Source organism: Homo sapiens, chromosome 6 (genome assembly GCF_000001405.40).
Source record: "Homo sapiens chromosome 6, GRCh38.p14 Primary Assembly".
In the NCBI taxonomy this organism is placed as follows: domain Eukaryota; kingdom Metazoa; phylum Chordata; class Mammalia; order Primates; family Hominidae; genus Homo; species Homo sapiens.
Window position 1 is genome coordinate 47,810,506 of NC_000006.12, and position 20,622 is coordinate 47,831,127.

At 38.6% G+C, this 20,622-nt stretch overlaps 1 protein-coding gene and 1 pseudogene across 9 annotated transcripts in view; both read left to right on the forward strand.

Moving 5' to 3' along the window:
• OPN5 (opsin 5) overlaps positions 1–15,876 on the forward strand; it is a 44,350-nt gene extending 28,474 nt beyond the window's left edge. For 6 of the 9 annotated variants that reach the window (XM_017010416.2, XM_017010410.2, XM_017010413.2 and 3 more), the window contains 3 exons: positions 1,169–1,226; positions 7,358–7,488; positions 13,478–15,876. In XM_017010416.2, coding sequence (XP_016865905.1) covers positions 1,169–1,226; positions 7,358–7,488; positions 13,478–13,517 — 229 coding nt within the window. In that variant the 3' untranslated portion in view covers positions 13,518–15,876. The remainder of the gene's footprint in view (positions 1–1,168; positions 1,227–7,357; positions 7,489–13,477) is intronic. The other 3 variants (NR_033806.2, NM_181744.4, XM_017010411.2) reach the window with 1 other exon arrangement.
• RNU1-105P (RNA, U1 small nuclear 105, pseudogene) lies at positions 12,885–13,045 on the forward strand (annotated as a pseudogene).
• Positions 15,877–20,622: the final 4,746 nt, after the last annotated feature.

Here is a 20,622-nt window from a genome sequence, read left to right on the forward strand (position 1 = left end):
CCAGAACAAGTGAATTAAACTGGATTAATCAATATCCTTATTCTTTTCTTTTCTGAGCCCTGAAATGTTTTTGCTTATAAGGGGACACCCTCTTGGGAAATATTTTGAAATCAAATAATAAAGCTAATGTATTGAATATGGGATTGTGGAAATAAATTTTGGGTAATTTTAACAGTCTATTACAAGTTAAACTCATTTTTTCCTCCTGAATTGAATCCTCTGAGATTTTGGTAGAAGTTGGTGAACCAAAGGAAACAAATGTGGCCAAGAGCTCTTTCTGGAATGTTATTCTTTCCTACACCTGGGTATCCAGATGTAGTCTCCCATATTTTGTAAACAGCACTGCTCCACCCTGGCTGTGTAATGGAGACACCTGGGGAATTTTGAAAAATGACTGCTGCCTGGGCCCCAACTATAGAGATTTGGCTTTGTCTGGATTGGTCTTGAGCTTCCGTTGTTTAATTGTTTACCTCTCCCAGATGACTCTCTTGTACATTGTTGAAAGCTAACGAACCAGAGGCTGAGAAAGGAAGACAATGGCAGTACAGCTCATGGAGTCATAGGCCTTTGCCTACACAGAGACCAGTGAGGCCACCTATGGGCAGTGACAGGGAAAAGAGGCTGCAGATGCTAGGCCTATCTCAAATGGAGAAGAAATGTTCAAAAGGCACTGGGGGTTCGAACATTTGATTGGGGGTATGCAGTGAAGGATGGAGTCATTTGCATTCCTGGTACTGAGTGAAGATAACAAGGGAGAACAAAGCTGCAAACTCTGGCATTGCTATCATAATCAAACCTCCCCTGACCACCTTGGCTTGCAATGCTGTCTTCATAAAGAACATTCCTTCAGTAGGTGAATCACAAGGCCTACATATATAGTGCAGGTAGGTGTGCAATTAAGTTTGTTCTGGAAAACAGGAAACTCATGATGGCATACGAAATGTGCTGTAAATGAGTGGCTTGTTTTTGGAAAACTCTGCCCAAATAATTCCTTGACTTTGAATATTTCAAATTGAATTATTATTTTCTGTCTGTTGCTAATTCAAGATTTGTGCACATAATCCTCATAGTAGTCGTTTGACATATACATATGTATGTATATGTACATATGTATTTATGTGTGTGTATATGTAGATATTAAATTGCATTTTTCTTCTCCTATATCTAGGCTGCACACCGTAACCACAGTCAGGAAGTCTTCTGCTGTGCTGGAAATTCATGAAGAGGTATGAAGATGGATACAGCATCACTATGGACACTCGTATTCACTTATTTGCCTCTTCACTGCTGTAAACATTTGATTGTGGCCACACTTTTGTCTTTATATTATATTTTTATATTTTGTACAGTTTTCCTCAAGCCAGGGGTTGCTGGGAAATTCCAATGGCTAAATGGAAACTAGATTACAGGATACTAATTTAAGGAATATTATCAGGATGAGCGTCCCTGGAACTTTCTTTTCTCGTACTTTAAAACCTATTGTCATGCCAAACAGAATTGAATGTGAGATAGTGAGAAAAATGTTGAGAAGTTTTATATTAGGGGGTTATTTAATTTTATTACATCATTGTCATTATTGTTTCTTAATGTCGGGTTAGGGAGGCAGTTTCTGGGGCTCATTCAGGTGGACAATCATGTATGTTGGGCCATGGCTCTTTGGTAGGTACTTTGGTTCTCACAGCCATTTTTCATGCTGGAGGAGGTTTGTACTCTGATGGCAGTGATTCCACAAAGGAGTCCTCTGGGGAAATCAGTTTTGCCTTAAATCACTCAATGGAAAACTCTCCTGTATCTCCAAATTTGAAGACAACAGTAATTTCCGCTGATGATAATTTTACCTGCGTGGATTTTCTCATTAAGTTCTACTTACTAAAACAGTGGATGTAACAGGGCATTATGAGTTGTAATTGCTTAAGAAGTGAATTTAGTGAAGATAGCTATTCGTAAGTGTTGTTTCTTCTATTTGTTAGCTTGTTATTTCTTTTGTTCATCCTTTTTTTAAACAAACACCTTTTGAGGCAGACAGGTAAAGAGATGTAGATATGAATGAGATGGAGTGATTTCAAAGACAGATTCCTGCCTTTTAAAAGCTTCTGAAAGGAGAAGGCACGTAGATACTATGTCCAAATAGGTTTTCTACTCATTGTCTATTATCTTTTCTCCTAATCTGATAAGCAGGGCCATCTACATTGCAGTTCTTTTAATTCAATGACTAGACAGGTGTTCTCTATGCTTCTCTATTCCATCTACCTCCCCTTCTGCTATGAACTTAAGCCTTGCTCATCAATTGTGATTCTGTCTTTCTGGTAACTGCCAGCAAGAACAGCGAATAGGGGAAGAGGGTGGCCCCTCTCACACCATTGATAATCTCTCCACTCCTTCCACTTGAAGGTTTGTAGAGAATCATACCCTCCTCCAAGGCTCAACCTCAGTACATGGAACCTTCAGTTCCTTTGTCTTTGTTCTTTGTCAGTCAGGGGTGTGGGATGAGGAATGACTTGATGTGTGTCACTGGTTTAAGATAAATGCCAAATAGATGTTGGAAAACATGCTCTATGATTAAAACAACAACAACAACAACAACAACAACAACAACAACAACAACAACAAGCAACAACTCTGCTTGGGGCTTATGCCTGCATATCAAAGTCTGGAGAAAAGAAGAGGCAGAATTGTCATTAGAATAGAGAGGCAAGGAACTTTTTAGCAGACTTGTACATTATAGAGGTGTGAGAGCACGTGGCACGTCAGATAGAGGTGGACACAGCTGTAAAGCACAGTCAGGTTTGCACCCCTCCTCTGTGCCCTTTGGCAAGTTTGAAACATGAGGATAATAACAATAGTATCACAGGGTCATTGTGAGACTTATGAAATAATATCCACATAAGTCACTTAGCAATATGCCGGTGATAGAGAAGCACCCCTGGGTACCAACAACTGCTCTTATTATTATTAAGGCGAGTGGTGGTGGTCAGAAGTGGAGCTGAGAGTGGTAGTCTGGCAGGAGCCAAATCAGACTCCAAAGGCTTTGTTGTTTATGCTGTTATATGGATTTTACCATGACGGTGATAGGGAGACCATTCATGATTTTAGGCTGGGGAAGAAAGACCAGTCTGGTGGCAGTGTGGAAGGTGGATTGTCTGCATGAGAGTGGGGAATCAAGATTAGAGGTTGGCAGACCAGTTAAGAGGCTTTATAACAAAATTACAACTTATGAGGACCTGAATTAAAAAATGGCATTAAAAATGAAGATGAAAATTTAGGTTTAAAATATTTTAAAAAGTGACAAAAAAGTGGTAATTGATTACATGGATGAAGAAGAGTTGAGGATAACTTGGGGCCATCTGCTTAGGAAATAATGTAGATAACGGTGTCTACCGAGGGGAAAAATACAGGAAAGTGAATGGGATGGGGGAGAGAGTGAATTATATTTAGAATATGTTGAATGCGGAGCATTTGCAACATAGGTAAAGATATTCAAAACCGGTAGTTAAAAATAATCTAAAGTCATACTGAATGATATATAGATTATATCATTATATCATTATAACGATATAGTTATAGATTATTGAGTTGCAGAGTGAAGCAGGTAGAACAAAAATGCTAAAAGAGAAATTGCTGGTTTTAAATGACCTGAAGAAAGTGAAGTGAAGGAGGTTTTTTTTTTCCTTCTTCTTCTTTTGTGTGGGGGGATGATTGTGGAAGTGGATGACAGATGGCGGTGGAGGTAAGAAAAGGAGAAAAGAACACTCAGGTTGGTGTAGATTTGTCTAGAAGGTGGAATTTAACATTAACATTGTACAAACGTCCCTGAAGACAGATAGTTTAACTGTTTAAAAATAGACTCATTTAACTGTTTAACTAGAATATGGTCTTTAACATGGCTTTATAAATGCATGTATAAGAAAAATTAGCATAGTGAAAAGGAAAAAAAGAGTTTAAATTGTCGGAGCTTTGGAGGAGATCCTAGAGTTAATATCTGTTATCAATTTGAAAAATATGATTTAAGTCCTCCATGCTTTGGTTCTACATTGTTTTGGGTAATAATCTGAGAGCTGGGAGGCACCAGAATTGATAGAGATGTGGTCCTTGGGGTAGAATGGAGGAAGAAAAAACAAGGAGTCATTGAAGTTTGGCTCATGTACACCAGACTGTCAGTGGATAACTTCCTGAGTGGGTTTTGCTTCCCCAGTGGCTTCCAATGATTTGAGAAAACTCTATACAGACCTCAAACACATCTACAAATTCAATTTTAGCTTAGAAAAGATATATTGCATTTTATGTCTGGGAGGGTTATGAGAAAGACTGCAAAATCTTTGAGCTTGTAGCTATGCCTGTTCTCCTTTGGGTTCTCATAACTGGCCCAGTGCCTGATGCATAAAGGACACTTGGAAAGTTAATGGTTGAAATCAAACAAGTAATGACTTGGGGGAGATATGGAAACATGAGCTAGAGTATTAAACCAAGAATATAAAATCCTAGATCCCTGGACTTTCATTTAAACATGGCCTATCTTGTTAACAAATAAATGAGTAAATAAGTTTGTAAAATGGAAATTGAGAGTAGAAATGCCCTACTAACTTGAAAAGTTGGATTTCAAGAATTATCATAAAGTCTAAATATATTTTAAGTTTTTCTAAGTGGAATGAAGCAATAAGAATATATTTCACAGTAAAATCCAAGTTTTTGACTTTTAGAAATGTAATTTCAGGTTTGCACCCCTGAAAGAATCAAGCATTATGCTTATTTAGAACTGAAATGGTAACTACAAAAATCTATCTCATTTAATTTCCCACCACTGCCTTTAATGACCTTTAGCAACCTGAGCCACAAATCTACGAATAAAAATGCTTCTCCATTAAGTTAGTGCAAATGAGGGAGAAAAGACAAAGGAAAGGAGAGGGAAAGAGGAAGAGTCAGAGCTAGATGATGAGTAGGCTGTTGCAGGGATCAATGATGCTGGCATAATGAAATGTCTTAAAGACTGCCAAAACATCAGAGAACATTATATATAGAATGAAGATATATGTCATTAAAGTAAAAAGGTTAGCAGAGATAGCATCAGTCTTTGGTTCAATAACTAATTTTATAGAGAGGGAGCCAGACCTCACTGTCCAGGAGGTCAAAGGGTTGACCATTCTGTTAAAATGGGGCAAAAGGCAAGAAATATAAGACCCACAGGGAATTTGCTAAGAAAACACATTTAAGGGCATGCCCTCACTCAGTACAGACTTTGCTCAAAACCTCATGCTATTAGTGGATGCCATATTGCAAAAATTCCTGGTCACCACTGTGACCCTCTATGATTTTTAAATGATTTAACCTTCAGCATATTTGTTCACCAGGTTATGGGACTGCATGGGATATATTCTAAAAGTACTTTAAGAAATTTCAATCAAACCATTATCATTGAAACTGCTTTTCTCAATTACTTTGAACCCTCTTTCCTTAGCCTGACAAATATACCCTCACATGCACCACGAGGTCTGAAATAGACAGGCAACTATTACTTAAAACATATGTGAGAGAAAAAATTCTTTCAGGTATACACGTGCTTTGTTGGTTTTGTTTTATTTTGGTTTTAACATTGGCCACATCTACATAGGCAAATACTGCATTCACTCATTCAGCTTTGCATTCAGGCAATTTTAAGCACCTGCCATATACACTGTCCTCAATGTTTGGAAGATACAAAAGATGGGGAGGATGTGTTTTTAGTTCCTTAGGGATTTGAGGGCTTTGGCAAAGTTTTGACCTTTCTGTATATTGTAAATACTTTAATTGTAATAGTTTTTAGATGAAGACCTATAGGTTTACTTTGATGAGAGAAACTGCAAAATATCAGGAGAGGTCCTGGGAATTGATTTGCATATGTCTCTGTTCCCCTGATGAGGAGAGAAATATGGGGCTTTTGCAAGGTCTTCTAGAGCAGAATTCAATCATTGCCAAGCCAATGTTCTCCTGTTATCTTTGGGTGTTTGAATGTTTGGTTTGAGAAAAGGAAAATTTCTTGAGTCAGTTTTCTTCCTCAGGATATAGCAAAATGGAGCTGGCCAGGTGATTTGGGGCAGTGTGGATTACAACATTTTCTTCCAAACAATACCTAGAGCATTGGAGACACAGCATAGAAGTTCAGAGTACAGTTTCAGAATTAGCAGACTTGATCTCAAACTCAGGTGCCGTCATTTACCAGCTGTGAAGGCAAATTACTTGATCTCTCAGTGTCGCTGGTTGTCCTCATTGTGGAATAGGGACAGTCTCATCTCATTAGGATTTGTTGTGATTCATGTATCACCTGTAAGATTCTCAGGACAGTTCTGGCCCATTGAAAATATAAATTAAAAGGAAACTATTGTTATCATCACTATTAGAGGAAATAGGTGATTATTCCAAGCGGGTTTTGTAGTGATAGGTGTGAATCTTGTTCTTGAGGAGGTAGGAGGACATTTCTCAATATGTCTGGTCACCATAGATCTGGGAGATGTTCAAGCTGTTTGAGAAAGTGAGAAACACACTAAGATTCTGTGGAAATAGCAACTGGTAGCTCTGCCACAGGAAACTTGTAGTGTGAGGAACTGATGCTATGAGACATATTTGCCCTTTTGAGCCATGATTGGAGGTGGCATGAGACCAAGGAGAATAGAGATTTACTCCACTCCGGTGGGAGTCATCATGGAGACATACTGGAGATGAAGAAGGGGGTCAGAGCACGTTGCCTATTTAGCTTTCATGAAAGGGTTGAGATATTCAGCCTTCCACTAGAGAGTTTGCTGAGTTGGGAGCACAACTTCTTACTGTAGATTTTTTCTGGAATACAGGCAGAAACAGAAATTCTCATTGAGGTTCATGCCAGTTACAGAAATTTTCAGTTATCAAGACCTCTAGTTCTGACTTTAAATACATAAAAGTGTATTTAAAGTAGAAAATATTCAATTTTGGAGGCTTGTCTAGGAGTTTAAACTCGTTAATGTCTGTGTATGATGTTGTTGCATATAGGGTGGTTTAAATCCTTGTTACCCAAAATGTAGTCTGCAGACCCAGAGCTTGGGTATCTCCTGAGAGCTGGTTACGAAAAAAGAACTTGAGCCCCATGCCTGACCTACTACTGAATCAGAATCTGTAATTTAACAAGATGACTTTCCTGCCCATTGAATTTGATTAAGTCAATGATTCTGTTAAGACTAATGTGTTTTTAAGTCTTTTCCCATTGGATGTGGTCACAGTCAGAGGTGTCCTGAGAAATAGTACCCTAATCAATGGGCAGTTGTGTAAGAGCAAGGACTTGGAGTCTTGAAAGTATCCCTGGATACTGGGGATCTGTGAGCGGGACACTCTCTAAGGTATGTTTCACCCTCAGGACAAAGGGAGATTATGGCATCAGCTATCTTGTGGGGAGAATTCTGAGATGACAGCCTCCAGTGAAACACTAGGGACAAAGGCCCATTCACCTCTTCAAGAAACCAGGGAAGGGGAAAATGAAGCTGTTGGGTGAGTCAGCATTTCTTCGCATACAGCTATATTAGGATTGACTACTTAGAGCTAATTTGTTCAGAAAGAAGGGTATTTTCCTTAATACCAAGAGTTACACTTATCTAAGTATTTTCTACTTTGAAAGTGGTATTCACTTCCAATAGCCGCCCGATCCACATATATACACATCCAAATGAATAAAATGAACAAAATCTAATTAGTTAGAGGGGGAAAAAGCACCTAATCCATTTGAAAAATGAGCTAAATTTGTCAGCAAGCATGTGGGATTTATTCAAACTGCTCAGAATAGATCTGAATCTACACATTTTGACATTCCATCCATGTAGAAGCAAAGCCATGTGTGAGACCAGGCTGATAAAATGACTTAAATGATTGGAAGTCAAGAAGAATAATAGCACTGAAGCAGCAAGTTACTCACGACATTTCCAGAAAGTGGAGAATCAGGCACTCTTCTCTAAATATAGGACTGGGCCTGAACATTGTACAAACACATCCAAGCTAGTGTTTTGCAGAAACTCACTGCCAGTGGGGATTTGGCAGGGCATTCATCCATAGGATAATCTCAATCTGCAGTTGAGCCTGTGTATGGGGCACAGATGAGGCTCTTAGCTCAGGATGGTGATGAAACCACACACTCCACAGAGATGATATCTCTTCAAAGCATGGGAAGGTGTTCCAAGGTGAGAGATGACCCTACCCACCTATTTTGAGCTATTTTCGGTATTGTTAGATGAGATACCTCGGCAGGCATGGAAAATCAGCAGTCAGGTCAGCTGGGAGCTGGGAAATTATGTAGACTTCACTGTAAGAAATGACTGGCTCAAAGGTGTTCATGACAAGGGTTAGAGCAACTGGAGTGTATTGAGGCTGAGCAAATATGGTGGAAGGGAGAGGGAGAGTGGAGGAAATGTGAGTGTCTGAGACCATCAATAAGCAAGAGAATTTCCTGTCTCATTCTGGGTTGCAGCAGCTGCTGCTGGTCCAAGCCCTGCAAATGAAGACAGACATTTATAAGATCTAATAAGCTGAGGACTGTGTGGGCAGAGGAGAGCAACAACTTCTAGACAAACCCTGCCAAAAAAATATGCTTGCAAAAGTTCGTACAAAAAGGAGGCAGGTGTGGCTTCTTTAAATTTGTTTGTCAAAAAAATTTATTTTTAGCTCCTGGAGCAAATATCAGAAGTGGTTAAGTAACTGTACTTGTAATTTAGCAGCACAATAAGAATCACAAGAATATGTGGCTGTTGAACTCACCCCAGGACACCCTAAATTTACTGGGTAGTGGCATCAATGCCATGACTTGCTGGTCAGAGATCTCTAAGTAATTCTGAAAATTAGGAATATATATATATATATAAAAAATATATTACCGTATAAGTAGAAATATATATATATATATATATAAAACAGTATAAGTAAAAATGTGATACTAGAGAGGAGAAAGGGAGTAATTTATTCCACATTCAGTAGTTTAGTGCCTCGGTTTCATTCAGTGTTCTCAGAATTTAATTTAATTTAATTTAATACAATTATTAACAGTTCATCATTCAATATAAATTATTTTCAAATGAACAAAACCATTCACATTAGTCAGGCTGCTGCTGTTATTGGCGTGTTTCCCATTATAGTGTCTTACAGGTTTTTCAAATTAAGTTCTGCACTTCAGAATGGTTGAAATTATAGGGGAAGCGATATTCCAGAAAATACCCTGCTGGTTTTATTTCTAATGCAAACATAAATGAGGAATGGGAGGAAATCTTCTGAGGTAGTGAGTCTTAGATGTCAGCTCATTCTGTATTGATTGCAATTAATACAAATAGGCAAAATGTGTTCTCATTACAGTGAGAATATGATTAAAGTTTGTATAAAAGGTTGAAACTTGAGTTATTTGCTGGGAAGCAAATTCCTCCAAGCAAAATAATAAAAGCTACAATATTATTAAGTTTAACATATGCCAAGGATTGTTTTTATGTAAAAGTCAGTATACTACAGCCCTCTGGCCAAATCTGGCCCACTGCTCAGCCTCAATACACTCCAGTTGCTCTATTCAATGCCTGTTTTTGTAAATAAAGTTTTAATGGAACACAACCATGCCCACTTGTTTACATATTGTCTATAGCTGCTTCTCCTTTTGAATAGAGAGAGAGAGAGAGAGAGAGAGAGAGAGAGACTGTCAGTTTTGCAAATCCTAAAATAGGAACTTTCTGGCCCTTTATGGAAAAACTTTGCTGAAGTCTGCTCTACTTTTTTACTTGTTTTAACAGCCTTAGGGGTTATTCTTTGTCCCCTATTAGGAAACTGAGGCACAGAGAATTTATAGAGCCTGCTCAAAATCACACAGCCTGTCAATGGAAAAGCTGGAATTCCAGCTTTCTCAGGCTGTCTCTAAAGCCTGTGACTCTTAGTACTTTGCTATATGGTTGACCGATTTATTCTGTATGTAGATTTCTTCTTTCATCTCGCTTGATTTAAAATCCCACTCTAGGTCTCTTACAATAATTCTATTTCCTTGCTTGATTTACACTTGAGATGAGAAATTAGAGCTGATTTCTATTCCTTTTAAGGGAGTCGGGAGGTCCTAGACCAGGTGCATCAAATCCTAACTTGGCTTTTCGGATAAGGGAACCAGTTGTATGGGGGTGTGATAGCATCTGAGGATAAATTCCAATAGACGTTATTTATTGAGTGTTTCCTATATAGGAAGCTAGGCAAAAAATAAGGCATGCTCCTTATATGAAAATAGGTCATGGTGTAGTGGAAAAACAAATAAGAAAGTACAGTCGACCCTTGAACAATGTCGGGGTTAAGGGCACTGATCAGCCATGTAGTTGAAAACCTGCCTATAACTTTGGACTCTCCCAGAACTTAACTATTAATGGCCTACTGTTGACCGGAAGCCTTACCAAGAACAGAAACAGTCGATAAACACATATTTTATATGTTATATGTATTATATACTGTATTCTTATAATAAAGTAAGCTAGAGAAAACATTAAGAAAATCATAAGAAAGAGAAAATATATTTACGGTTCATTAAGTGGAAGTGGATCATCATAAAGCTTTTATCCTTATTGTCTTCACGTTGAGTAGGATGAGGAGGTAGAGGAGGAGCTGGCCTTGCTGCATCAGGGGTGGCAGAGGCAGAAGTGATGGAGGAAGTGGAAGGGGAGGCAGGTGAGGCAGGCACACTTGGTGTAACTTTTGTTTCTTTAAAAATTCACATATATAAGTGAATCTGTGCAATTCAAAACTGTGTTGTTCAAGGGTCAACTGTAGATAGTCTCACTACCTTGTGGGGAATGCTATGATAGAGACTGCACAGGGAGGGCTCTCCTAAGCCACATGGGTGTGGGAGGGGATGGAACCCAAGGACATGAAGAGGCAATCCCCGATGGAAGTTGGTCAGAAAAAAATTCTAGGAGGGTCTTCAAAACCAGAGAGAGCTTTGTGAGGAAGAGCACACTGAATGTCTTGGCACAGTATTATTCTGGAGGCTCTGAGAAGTTGGGCAAGAGACGGAAAGGATTCAATTCACTAAGGTCTTTGAACATTTATGTCATCATGGTCAATAATTTTCACTGTTTCCAGTTGACTGTGGGAAAAATATGTGAGCAATTTTAGTATATGTAAATTGTTTTAAGATTTTTATTTTAAATCCTATAGTTTCAGGCCAATGTTGTCCTTGTTCTCATCAAAATGCAGCATTTGAAGTACCTATATTAGAGTTTCATGGGATGCTTGGTTAAAATGTAAATCATTGGGCCCCACTCACACCTCATACATCCGACTGTCTGTGGAATAGTTGCTACAAATCTGCATTTAAGAAATGCAGGTGAGGCCAGGCATGGTGGCTCATACCTGTAATCCCAGCACTTTGGGAGGCCAAGGTGGGCAGATCAAGTGGTCAGGAGTTCAAGAGCAGCCTGGCCAATATGGCAAAACCCCTCTCTACTAAAAATATAAAAATTAGCTGGGCGCGGTGGCACGTGCCTATAGTCCCACCTACTTGGGAGACTGAGGCAGGAGAATCGCTTGAACCCAGAAGGTGAAGGTTGCAGCAAGCTGAGATGGCGCCGCTGCCCTCCAGCCTGGGTGACAGTGAGACTCTGTCTCAAAAAAAAAAAAAAAAAAATGCAGGTGATTCTTATTCCAGGTGACTCTTATACACTCCACAGTTTGAGAAGCATTGAAGGATAGTTTTAAGAAGAAATCCAGGGAAAATACATCCATATGAGGGCTGTTAAGGGTCTGAATGCTGGTACCTGGGCTGCAGAGAGAGGGTAATTAGATTTTGGAAGTAGTTTGGAAATAAACATGGACAAGAGTTTGTTATTCATTGAATGTGGATGGTGGCTAGCAGGAAGAAAGGAAATGCCTTTCCTTATTGAAAAAAATATGACTTAGGCTATTGACATGAGATAGAGAATATTTTCCTTACACCCAAAACTGTACTCTTCCTATCTTTTGTCCTAGATTAATTCAGATTCTTGCTCAATAAATTTCCCAATTTTTACGCTGAAATGAAACATGACAGCACCAACTAAATGGGTGCCCAGTTTAGTTCCATAGAAACTCAAAGGCACATCCAGAGTAGTTGGTTGGAATTTGTATTTCTTGAGATGAAGAGGCTGGTATGTAACAGGGTGTATTTGAAATTGTCTTGCCAAATGAGAGTGTTGTGGAGCCTGGCAAGAAGGGCAGTGTAGTTCCATGATGGAGTCTGTTCTGTAGGCAGATTGGCCATGAGAGCTAATAAAAATTTGTTCATGAATTAACATCATTACAGGTTTTTTTATACCGTGAAAAAATGTTAGTTTGGTTGATTGTTTTTATCCTCCCACACTTCTGTTGTTCAAGTCCTCCAAACGACATCTTCAGTCTTCACAACTCCACAAGCTAATCTGTTCTAGATAATCCAAAAGTGGGATAAGACTTTCCTCTCCTGTTTTCAAAGGACACACCTCTGAGGATACAGTTTGCCTTGGTTGCTCTGAGTAACACAAGAAAATAGCATAAAATCCTGCTGTGATCTCAGCAAAGCCCCAAGCCACATACTTGTTGAAAAGAACATAGCTAAGAGAGTCATCAGAACTGAATTCTGACTCTGGTTAGTTATGTGGCCGTGGCCCAGTATGTGATTGCATATTGATGTTGAATGAGACACAAATTTAACCCTCAAGGAGCTTATACTTAAACAGAAAAGGCAGAGTCAGGGGTTGGAGAGATAGTTTGGCTTCAAGGAGGAAGCACTATTTAAGCAAAAGCTTAAAGAACAGATTAAGTTTTCAGGCATAGAAGGAGGTGGAGTGACATAACCAGAAGCCCCAGCTGAGTCATACCTGGAAGACAGACAAAAGTTTATATCAGATGGATTGAAGGGTATGTAGGAGAAGATACGTACCTGGCAGGGAGACGCCACAAATCCTAAGATTGTTTTCCCATGGCAAGCCTTATCTATTTCAGGACAGATGTGCTGATCCCTGAGATACCTTCAAATATGGTAAACTCTACTGCACAATTTGTGGTAGTGCGGGACTGTGTTCACGCTCTCTTCTGGCAAAAAAAAAGTCTTAAAAAATGAAAAGGAAGGGTATATGGGAGAAAATTAGGCAGTACAGGTGAGTAGGGAGAAGATCCTGCAAGGCCTTACAGGTTAGTCTTTGGAGTTTGCATTTCATTCTAGGCAATGCTTAGGAGTAGAAGACCAGGATATGTATTGGGAGACTTTGGAGATTCTATAGGTAAGAAAGGAGCCTGAACTAGAATTGTGGCCTTTAGAACATCCAGGAAGGGAACAGGGCAGGATGCACCTGCAAAGAGGACTCTGTGGGTTCGGGGAGAAGCCATCTCAGTGACAATGTCCATCGCAATCCTGGTTCTTTTGGTGTGTGTGTGTGGTATGTTTAGGCTCTGAATTTAGTTTTGGACTTTCTCCACTTACTGGCTGTGTGCCTCACCCTAAAACTCAATTTTTTCTTCTCTACAGTGGGAATAACAAATGTTCTGGTTGTGAAGAGTGCATCTGAAGTGCTTACACGGCGTCTGGCATATGCAGAGAAATTAGCTTACAAATGTTATTTTTCTGACTTCTCGCCTCCACTCCACTTACCCTGTCAGGAAAAAATAATTCACAAGGAATATCAAAACAATGATGCACCCTAGGAGTATCCAAGTATCTTAACTGAGTTATCTCATTCTGGTATAGTGGCAGAGTTATAACTAAAGAGTGCCAGAAACCCACGCTTTAAACATCCTGCAGTGCACACCTCGGTCTCGTCAGTAAGGACTTCACTTTCTTCTGAACTGGGGCTTGTGAAAGCTGGCCTGAAAAGCCTGATTCAAGGAGATCAGGCTGTGTCTCTGACTGGAGCAGCTACACTCCCCATCTGTAATTTGATTTGTTCTATTGCAGATGATGTACTGGGCAGAGGTGAGTGTGGATTGGTGAAAATCTGTTTTTATGACTGGCAAAGCAGTGCAGGGGGGTCTTTCACTGATAAGAAGCATCATCAGTAGGGTTTGTCCCTGATGCCTTTACAACAGCATCTGAGCACCTCTCAAGTTTTTCCAGGCCAGCTCCAGTTTCAGTGAGGAGAGTGTGGGCTTTCTATTCCCCAAATATTCTTACTACAGTTAATATGTAGGTTACTGCCCCAGCCCAACTGCAGGTTCCCAGATGTGAGTTCCATGTAGGCAGAAACTGTCCAGTTCTTGAAATTGAATTACTTCCTTGTGTATGTGTTTTTTTCCTACTTAAAGCTCCTCGGGATGCTTCCTCTCAAAAGTCTTTGAAGAATAAGAGGTTAAGCTAAGACAACCTGAATCAATTTTTTTTTTTTTGTCAAATGCGATTGAAATTATCCCCATAATTCAATAAAATAGCTTTTTCCCTTCTTTCTTTTTACTTTGTTGGAAACTATGCAACAGAAACAAAGTAAGAAGACTCTACCTTAATTTTAAAGGTAACTCTTACATAAAGAAGAAAGTCATTATGCCAGGCCAGGGGGAGAGTGGAAAGGGGAAATTTAGAGAATAGAAACAAACTTAAGCATCTTGTAAATTTTGAGTGAATTGTAAACACATAATGAATGAATGAGAAGGGCCAGCCAGGAGTCTGTGAAATGGTCCAGTTGGGAAATGCCTAATGCATAAACACAAATCTTGGTGACAGGTAGGTTAGTTATCTGTGAACTTTCTAAAGATTAAATAAACAATAATAGGATTTTGTTAATGTGCCAAAGTGAGTTTAAACCATGAAAGACACGATGCAAATATGCAAGTACCTTTAATTGGGCATAATAAAAAGTAGTGAGGTATGGTTAAAATAACATTTAGAACAAGAGAGAAGTTAGGGAGAATTTTTGTCTAAAAAGCCAAAAAGTGATAGTTGATTGGTGATTTTGTTGTTATCAGGAGAGAGAATTTTCTTAATGTAATAAGTTAGGTACTTTGGCAAGTGAAATGGGTTCTAGGCCAATTGCAAGTCCTTAGGATTCCCTGGCAGCTAGAAACCTTGGCACTCCCAAAAGACAGCTTCAGTTAAAATGACAGATGAACATGAGTCTTCAAGTCAAAACTACTGTTGTACCACGTCCATTGAATGTTTGGTGATTCAAGTCTCTGTTATTCAAGAACTGATTCTGTTTTTCCTCCTGTCAAAACCTTGGTTGATTTTGACTGTAGTAGCACATCTGGCAGGAATATGACAGAAAAAAATTAAGTTAAAAATATAATTTCTATTCCCCTATTTTTTCTGTAAAAGGCTTTATGGGGAAGAAGGGAAGAAGGTTGACATGAGTAGAGATGATACTTGCCTCTGGATGACCCAGTTGGGTTCTCCTTTGACTGCCATTCACCACAGTTGACCTCATTAGGCTCCGAAGTATGAGAAGAGCTTCATTGCCAAGTTAGTGAAAGAAGCAGATGATTTACTTTTGCTCGAGTGGGTCTGTAGACCTCGGGAGGTTAGCCATTTCTCTTAGAGTTTGGTGTATGTATTAAGATACAGCATGTATGTAGGTATATATAATACATATATGTGTGTATACATATATATATATTTCTGGTTTGTTTAATATCTTTTAAAAAATTTTAATGGAATTTTTTGAACATGTACAAAAGAGAAAGAATCCTACGATGAACTCCCATGTATCCATCATCCAGCCTCAATAGTGATCAACCCATAGCATATTGTGGTTCATGTTGACACTCATCCACCTCTTTCCTTCCCCATCTCTCCCCATTATTTTGAGACGAATGAGATCCTGGGATTTCGTGAAAATATTATGAATATCTTATTTGTGAGAACAAGATTTCCCAAAGCATGATCCCCAGAAACCTAGTCCTGCAAAACTACTGCAAAAATAAAGTGTTCTAATCTCCAAACGTTTTAGGCAAGTGTTAGATATCATCTCTCTTTTTTGAAGAATTGTCCCATACGGGAATACATTAATGGTTCTTCACCTAAGAACTAATTTAAAGCAGTATCTTCCAAACTTAATTGAGTCTGGAATTCTTTATTTCCAGGAGAGTCTATTTACATTGTGAGGAAGAAATGTTAAGAGACAGTATTTACCACATTTGCCAGGCACTCACTATGTGTCAGGTTTTCTGTTAAATGCTTTTTATGGGCATTACTTCATTTAATCCTTATAAGAATCCTATGAGGTGAGATTGACAGATGAACATATTACCCCATTTTCAGATGAAGAAATTGAAGCTCAGAAATAGAAAATAACTTGGTAAAGGTCATAGCAGGCGCAAGATTTTCTCCCAGGTCTGAATGACTCTTGAATCTGAGTTCCCAACCCTCATGCTATGCAGTTGGAGAAGGGGTATTAACAATATCTGATGACATGAGCATCCTCTGGTGGCTTTAATGTATTCCACTTTTTGATTTGAAAGGCACTGGGAAGTTTATCTAAGACAATAGAGGAGAGAATAATCTAAAAGGTACAAAAGTTGTTTTGTACCTTCTATCATCTAAAAGGTACAAAACAATTTTTTTTCTACGGAAGTAGAAAATATTATTAATCAATAATGTTGTACTCCTATTTTCTTATGCTAACAAGGGAAACAAAAATACAACAGAACATACACAATCAGAGTCATTAGGCTAAGAACTTTGTTTAGTAATATTTTCTATTTCCATAGAAAAATTGTTTTGTGCTTTGTAGATTATTTTCACCTCTATTGGCTTAAACTTCCCAATGCCTTTCAAAAAAAATTAGGTTAAGCATTTTTTTTTAATTTAGCAAATAAGACACAGAAAAGATATATATCTTGCCAGAGGTTTGAAGTTCATTACAGAGCTGGAATCAGAATGTTGATATTTATGTCCAGGGCAATTTTTTTTAGCTGCACCATGAATATTGCATTGACAAATAGGATATTCCCCCAACTCCTGGCTTGTTCTGGTTGGTGTACACTGGGGAACCAAAGAACTGGGAGGGAAGGGAGACTGCCTTAATCCAGAGTTACTTGATAGTGGAGAGTCCATTAGTGTTAATATTGTTTTCAGGATTTTTCAGAGGCAAGGTCTAGTGCTTATCTTAGCATTTATATCATGTTTTGTATATTTTCAGGTAGGAAAGGAAAATCTAAAGATTTAGTTTTCTTAGGACAAACTGTGAACTACCATCATAGTCCATTGCTTCTTTACACGTGGAAAACCCTGCCAGTGCTCATTGTGATATGCAGTCATCCCCAGGCTGTTTTGGAAGCTCCAGTTCATGGCCCAACAGTGATGGGAGGGGCTCTGTGGAACCATTCAGGGATTCCTCAGTGAAGGTATCCATGATATAGCTGGGAAGAGGACCAAATGGTGAGGTGGAAGAGTGGCTCTTTACCATCTATCTCACATTCCTTGTCAAGGTCAATGTATTATTTTCTAGATGACATGTTTGGTATATTATTCCCTGAGTAAAAAAAAAAAAATATGCAAAAATTAAAATACAGATGCAATTATTTTCAAAGATATTATGGGAAGAAGGATAGTTGTGTAATAGCTACAGAGAATTAAGCACCAGCATTATTAGAGCATTAGCAAGGCAAACTAAACACCTCTGATTAACTGGGCATTTATTCTGGCTGAGACAAACTTGCATGGAGATAGGGAACATTTGGATGTACGGCTGCAAATAATGAGTGTTATCACTTCGTTAAAGTAGGTCAAGGTAAGCAAATGTGATAGATTTTTTTCCACATGGTATAATTACCAAAGGCAATTCAGTAGGTTTTAGACCTGGACCATAAAATTATATAATAAGCAGTCATTCATTGTCGGTGATTAAAAATAAATGTCTCCAGACAGATTAAAAGAGGAGAGACACAGAGTAAAGCACCATGATCCCACTGTTTATTATATCCACTCTCGTAATTAAGGAAGGTGTAAATTTAAAACATATTATTAAATATGTGGAGGCACCATGATATAGCAAAAAGAGAGCTGGTCCTGGAATCAGACCACCAGGGTTAAGGAATCACTTTTTATACCTTTGACAACATGGCCTCAGGAAAACAATTTGATCTCTTTGAGCTTTGGTTTGCTTATTTGAAAATGGACATTAACAATAAATTCTTAAAATATTTTCTAGTGGTCAAATAATATATGAATCTGCAAAGTTCTAGGCAAATGACTATTAATGATAATGGTTAAAAAAATACAAGCTATAAAGCCAGAGTGGAAAGGCAGCACCAAGTAACAACAGAGCTTCTGCAGGAGTTGACATATCTAGGTGTGCAAGCACAAGACCTGCTCTTCTGAAACAGTCTTACTGATGAGAGGAAGATCAACCAGTCCTAGAGCAGTGAGCCAGGGCAAAACAAAAGAGTCAATTGCAACCTAAGTATCAACCTAAGAGATGTACTAAGTATTGACTTTGGGATCCATGACACTAGGAAGAAGGAAAGGTGAATTTTTTTTTTCTTCATCTGGCCACCTGATTCCTTGTTCCGAGTATGCATATTAGTAGTCAGTGGTCATTATGATATAATAGTTAAATTTTTTTTTCTGGCTGGTTTAATTAGGTTGAGATAATCCAGAGTGAAAAATGCTCATTCTGTGCTTCCAGGGAACTCCTGCTAACACCAAAATTTGAAATCAGTTAATGTCCAAAGCACTCATGTGCCATAGGAAGGTCAGTCAGCCTATCCATGTTTCATTCCTGGAGGTGTTGACACTAAAAGAGCCCCCTGCCATCCAAAGACATCCCAGGTAGCACAGAAAGTAAGTAATACAGCTGCAGTAGACTTCATGGTTCAGGGCTTTTCCACCTGCTTTATCTACTGGAGGTTAATTGGATGTTTTGCAGAATACCCCAAGCATGGTTGTTACTCCACACAAATAATACCATTAATGAAAAAGGAGGCTTTAGAGTATAGCATGGGTAGGAAGAAGTGTCTGGAATTTGCTTATTTGAGGGTAACTCTCCAAGGGATTTGTGGAGATCTGGTAAAAGTCCGTAATTACTTGCTCAATAGGAAGATATGGTATATATTATTTCCAAAGTGAAAAAGATGCCTGACTGCAAGTCTCAGGGCCACATGAAGTTAGCAGTGAAAGAATGCAGCATATAGTTTGTTGGAGAGGTGGAGAGGATAAATCAGTGAAAGGTGAGTTAAGTTAGGGTGGAAAGGAAGGGGTGGGAAGTCTTTCTGGCTTTAGAATAGGCTCTGGCAGTTCTGTTGTCAGTAACTGTCACCATACTATTCAGGGAAAATTTGACAATCTCCATTGCTAAATCCCCAAAAGTAACAGTTTAATTTATTTTTCAGAACAAGCCTCATATAGATTGCAAATATTTTGAGTGGCAAGTTGATTTATTAGGGGAAAATTTTTCCCCATATAATTAAGTTTGCCTCTTATGTTATAATGTCAAAATCAGAGAAAATGTAGACATATTTTAGTTCATCCTAAAGAGACTAGAGGTACTGCAAAAATACTAAGAAGACTTCTAAAAAGTTCTTATTTGATTTTTGCAAATTAAAATAATGATACTATCTAATGGAAACAATTAGAACAATATTGCACAAAGACATAAAGGCAAACATAATCAATGACCTTCCCTCCAATATAATATTAGTGTTCACAGCATGACATGAGTCTTTCCACATAACTCCTTATTTACACATATGAAAAAAAATTTTAAACAGGCAAACGCTTAGACAAAAACAGAGAATCTCAAAGTGCTTGAGATTTTTCAGCAGAATCAGAGAAAACCAAAACTATTCTCTTTGGCTTCAATCTTAATATAGAAAAATCTAGGCTAAAGCATTGGGGCTAGAGTGAGGTGGAGGTCAAAAAAGAGCACCAAGAGAAGTATACCTGAAGCATTTATTTCTAGAAAATTAGTCTTGTGCAGAATACCAGATGCTAGGCCATGGGACTTCTTCTCTCAACCTTCCTCTTTCATTTTGCTTATAGAGAGAGGTACATGGTGACATGTCAAACAGCGACTCTTGTATCCTTAGGGAAGCTCTAATCATCAAAGTGTATTCAATATACGTCTTGGTGAGCATGTGGTTGTATGGTACAAAGGTTAGGAAATCAAGCTAAAGAGATATGGCCCTAACTTCCAGGGCATAGAAAGAGAAATCAAGGACCCAGAGGCAGATGAACAAGGAAAATAAGTAGCAGAATGAACCAGGGACTTAATATATTTGCAATGTGTCTGGTTTGTATTCTGTGGAATGATGAGGGAGGAACCTCTGGAGCATGTGCACATTTGGACAAGATGAGCCTAGAGAGGAATAGCTGTCTCACTTCCAGACATGCTGCTACCTCTGCCTAGTGAATATAACACAGGGAAGGGCTGAAATGAAAGATAATTTTCACATGCGGAGATGAAACTGCAGTCTAAATCCACTGAGGTATAATCCCACTATGCCCAGGGTTACTTATTTAAAAAATATTTTTGGGGTTTTGACAGGTAGTGTGCTATCCAAAGTATAAAATAACAAATACCATGATAGCTACATTGTATATTTGACCACTCCACGGAAGAATTTGGATAAAAAACCTTTTCTCATTCTTTTATCTTCCCTCCCTTCCTTCCTTCCTTCCTTCCTTCCTTCCTTCCTTCCTTCCTTCCTTCTTCCCTCCCTCCCTCCCTCTCACTCTTTCCTTCTCAC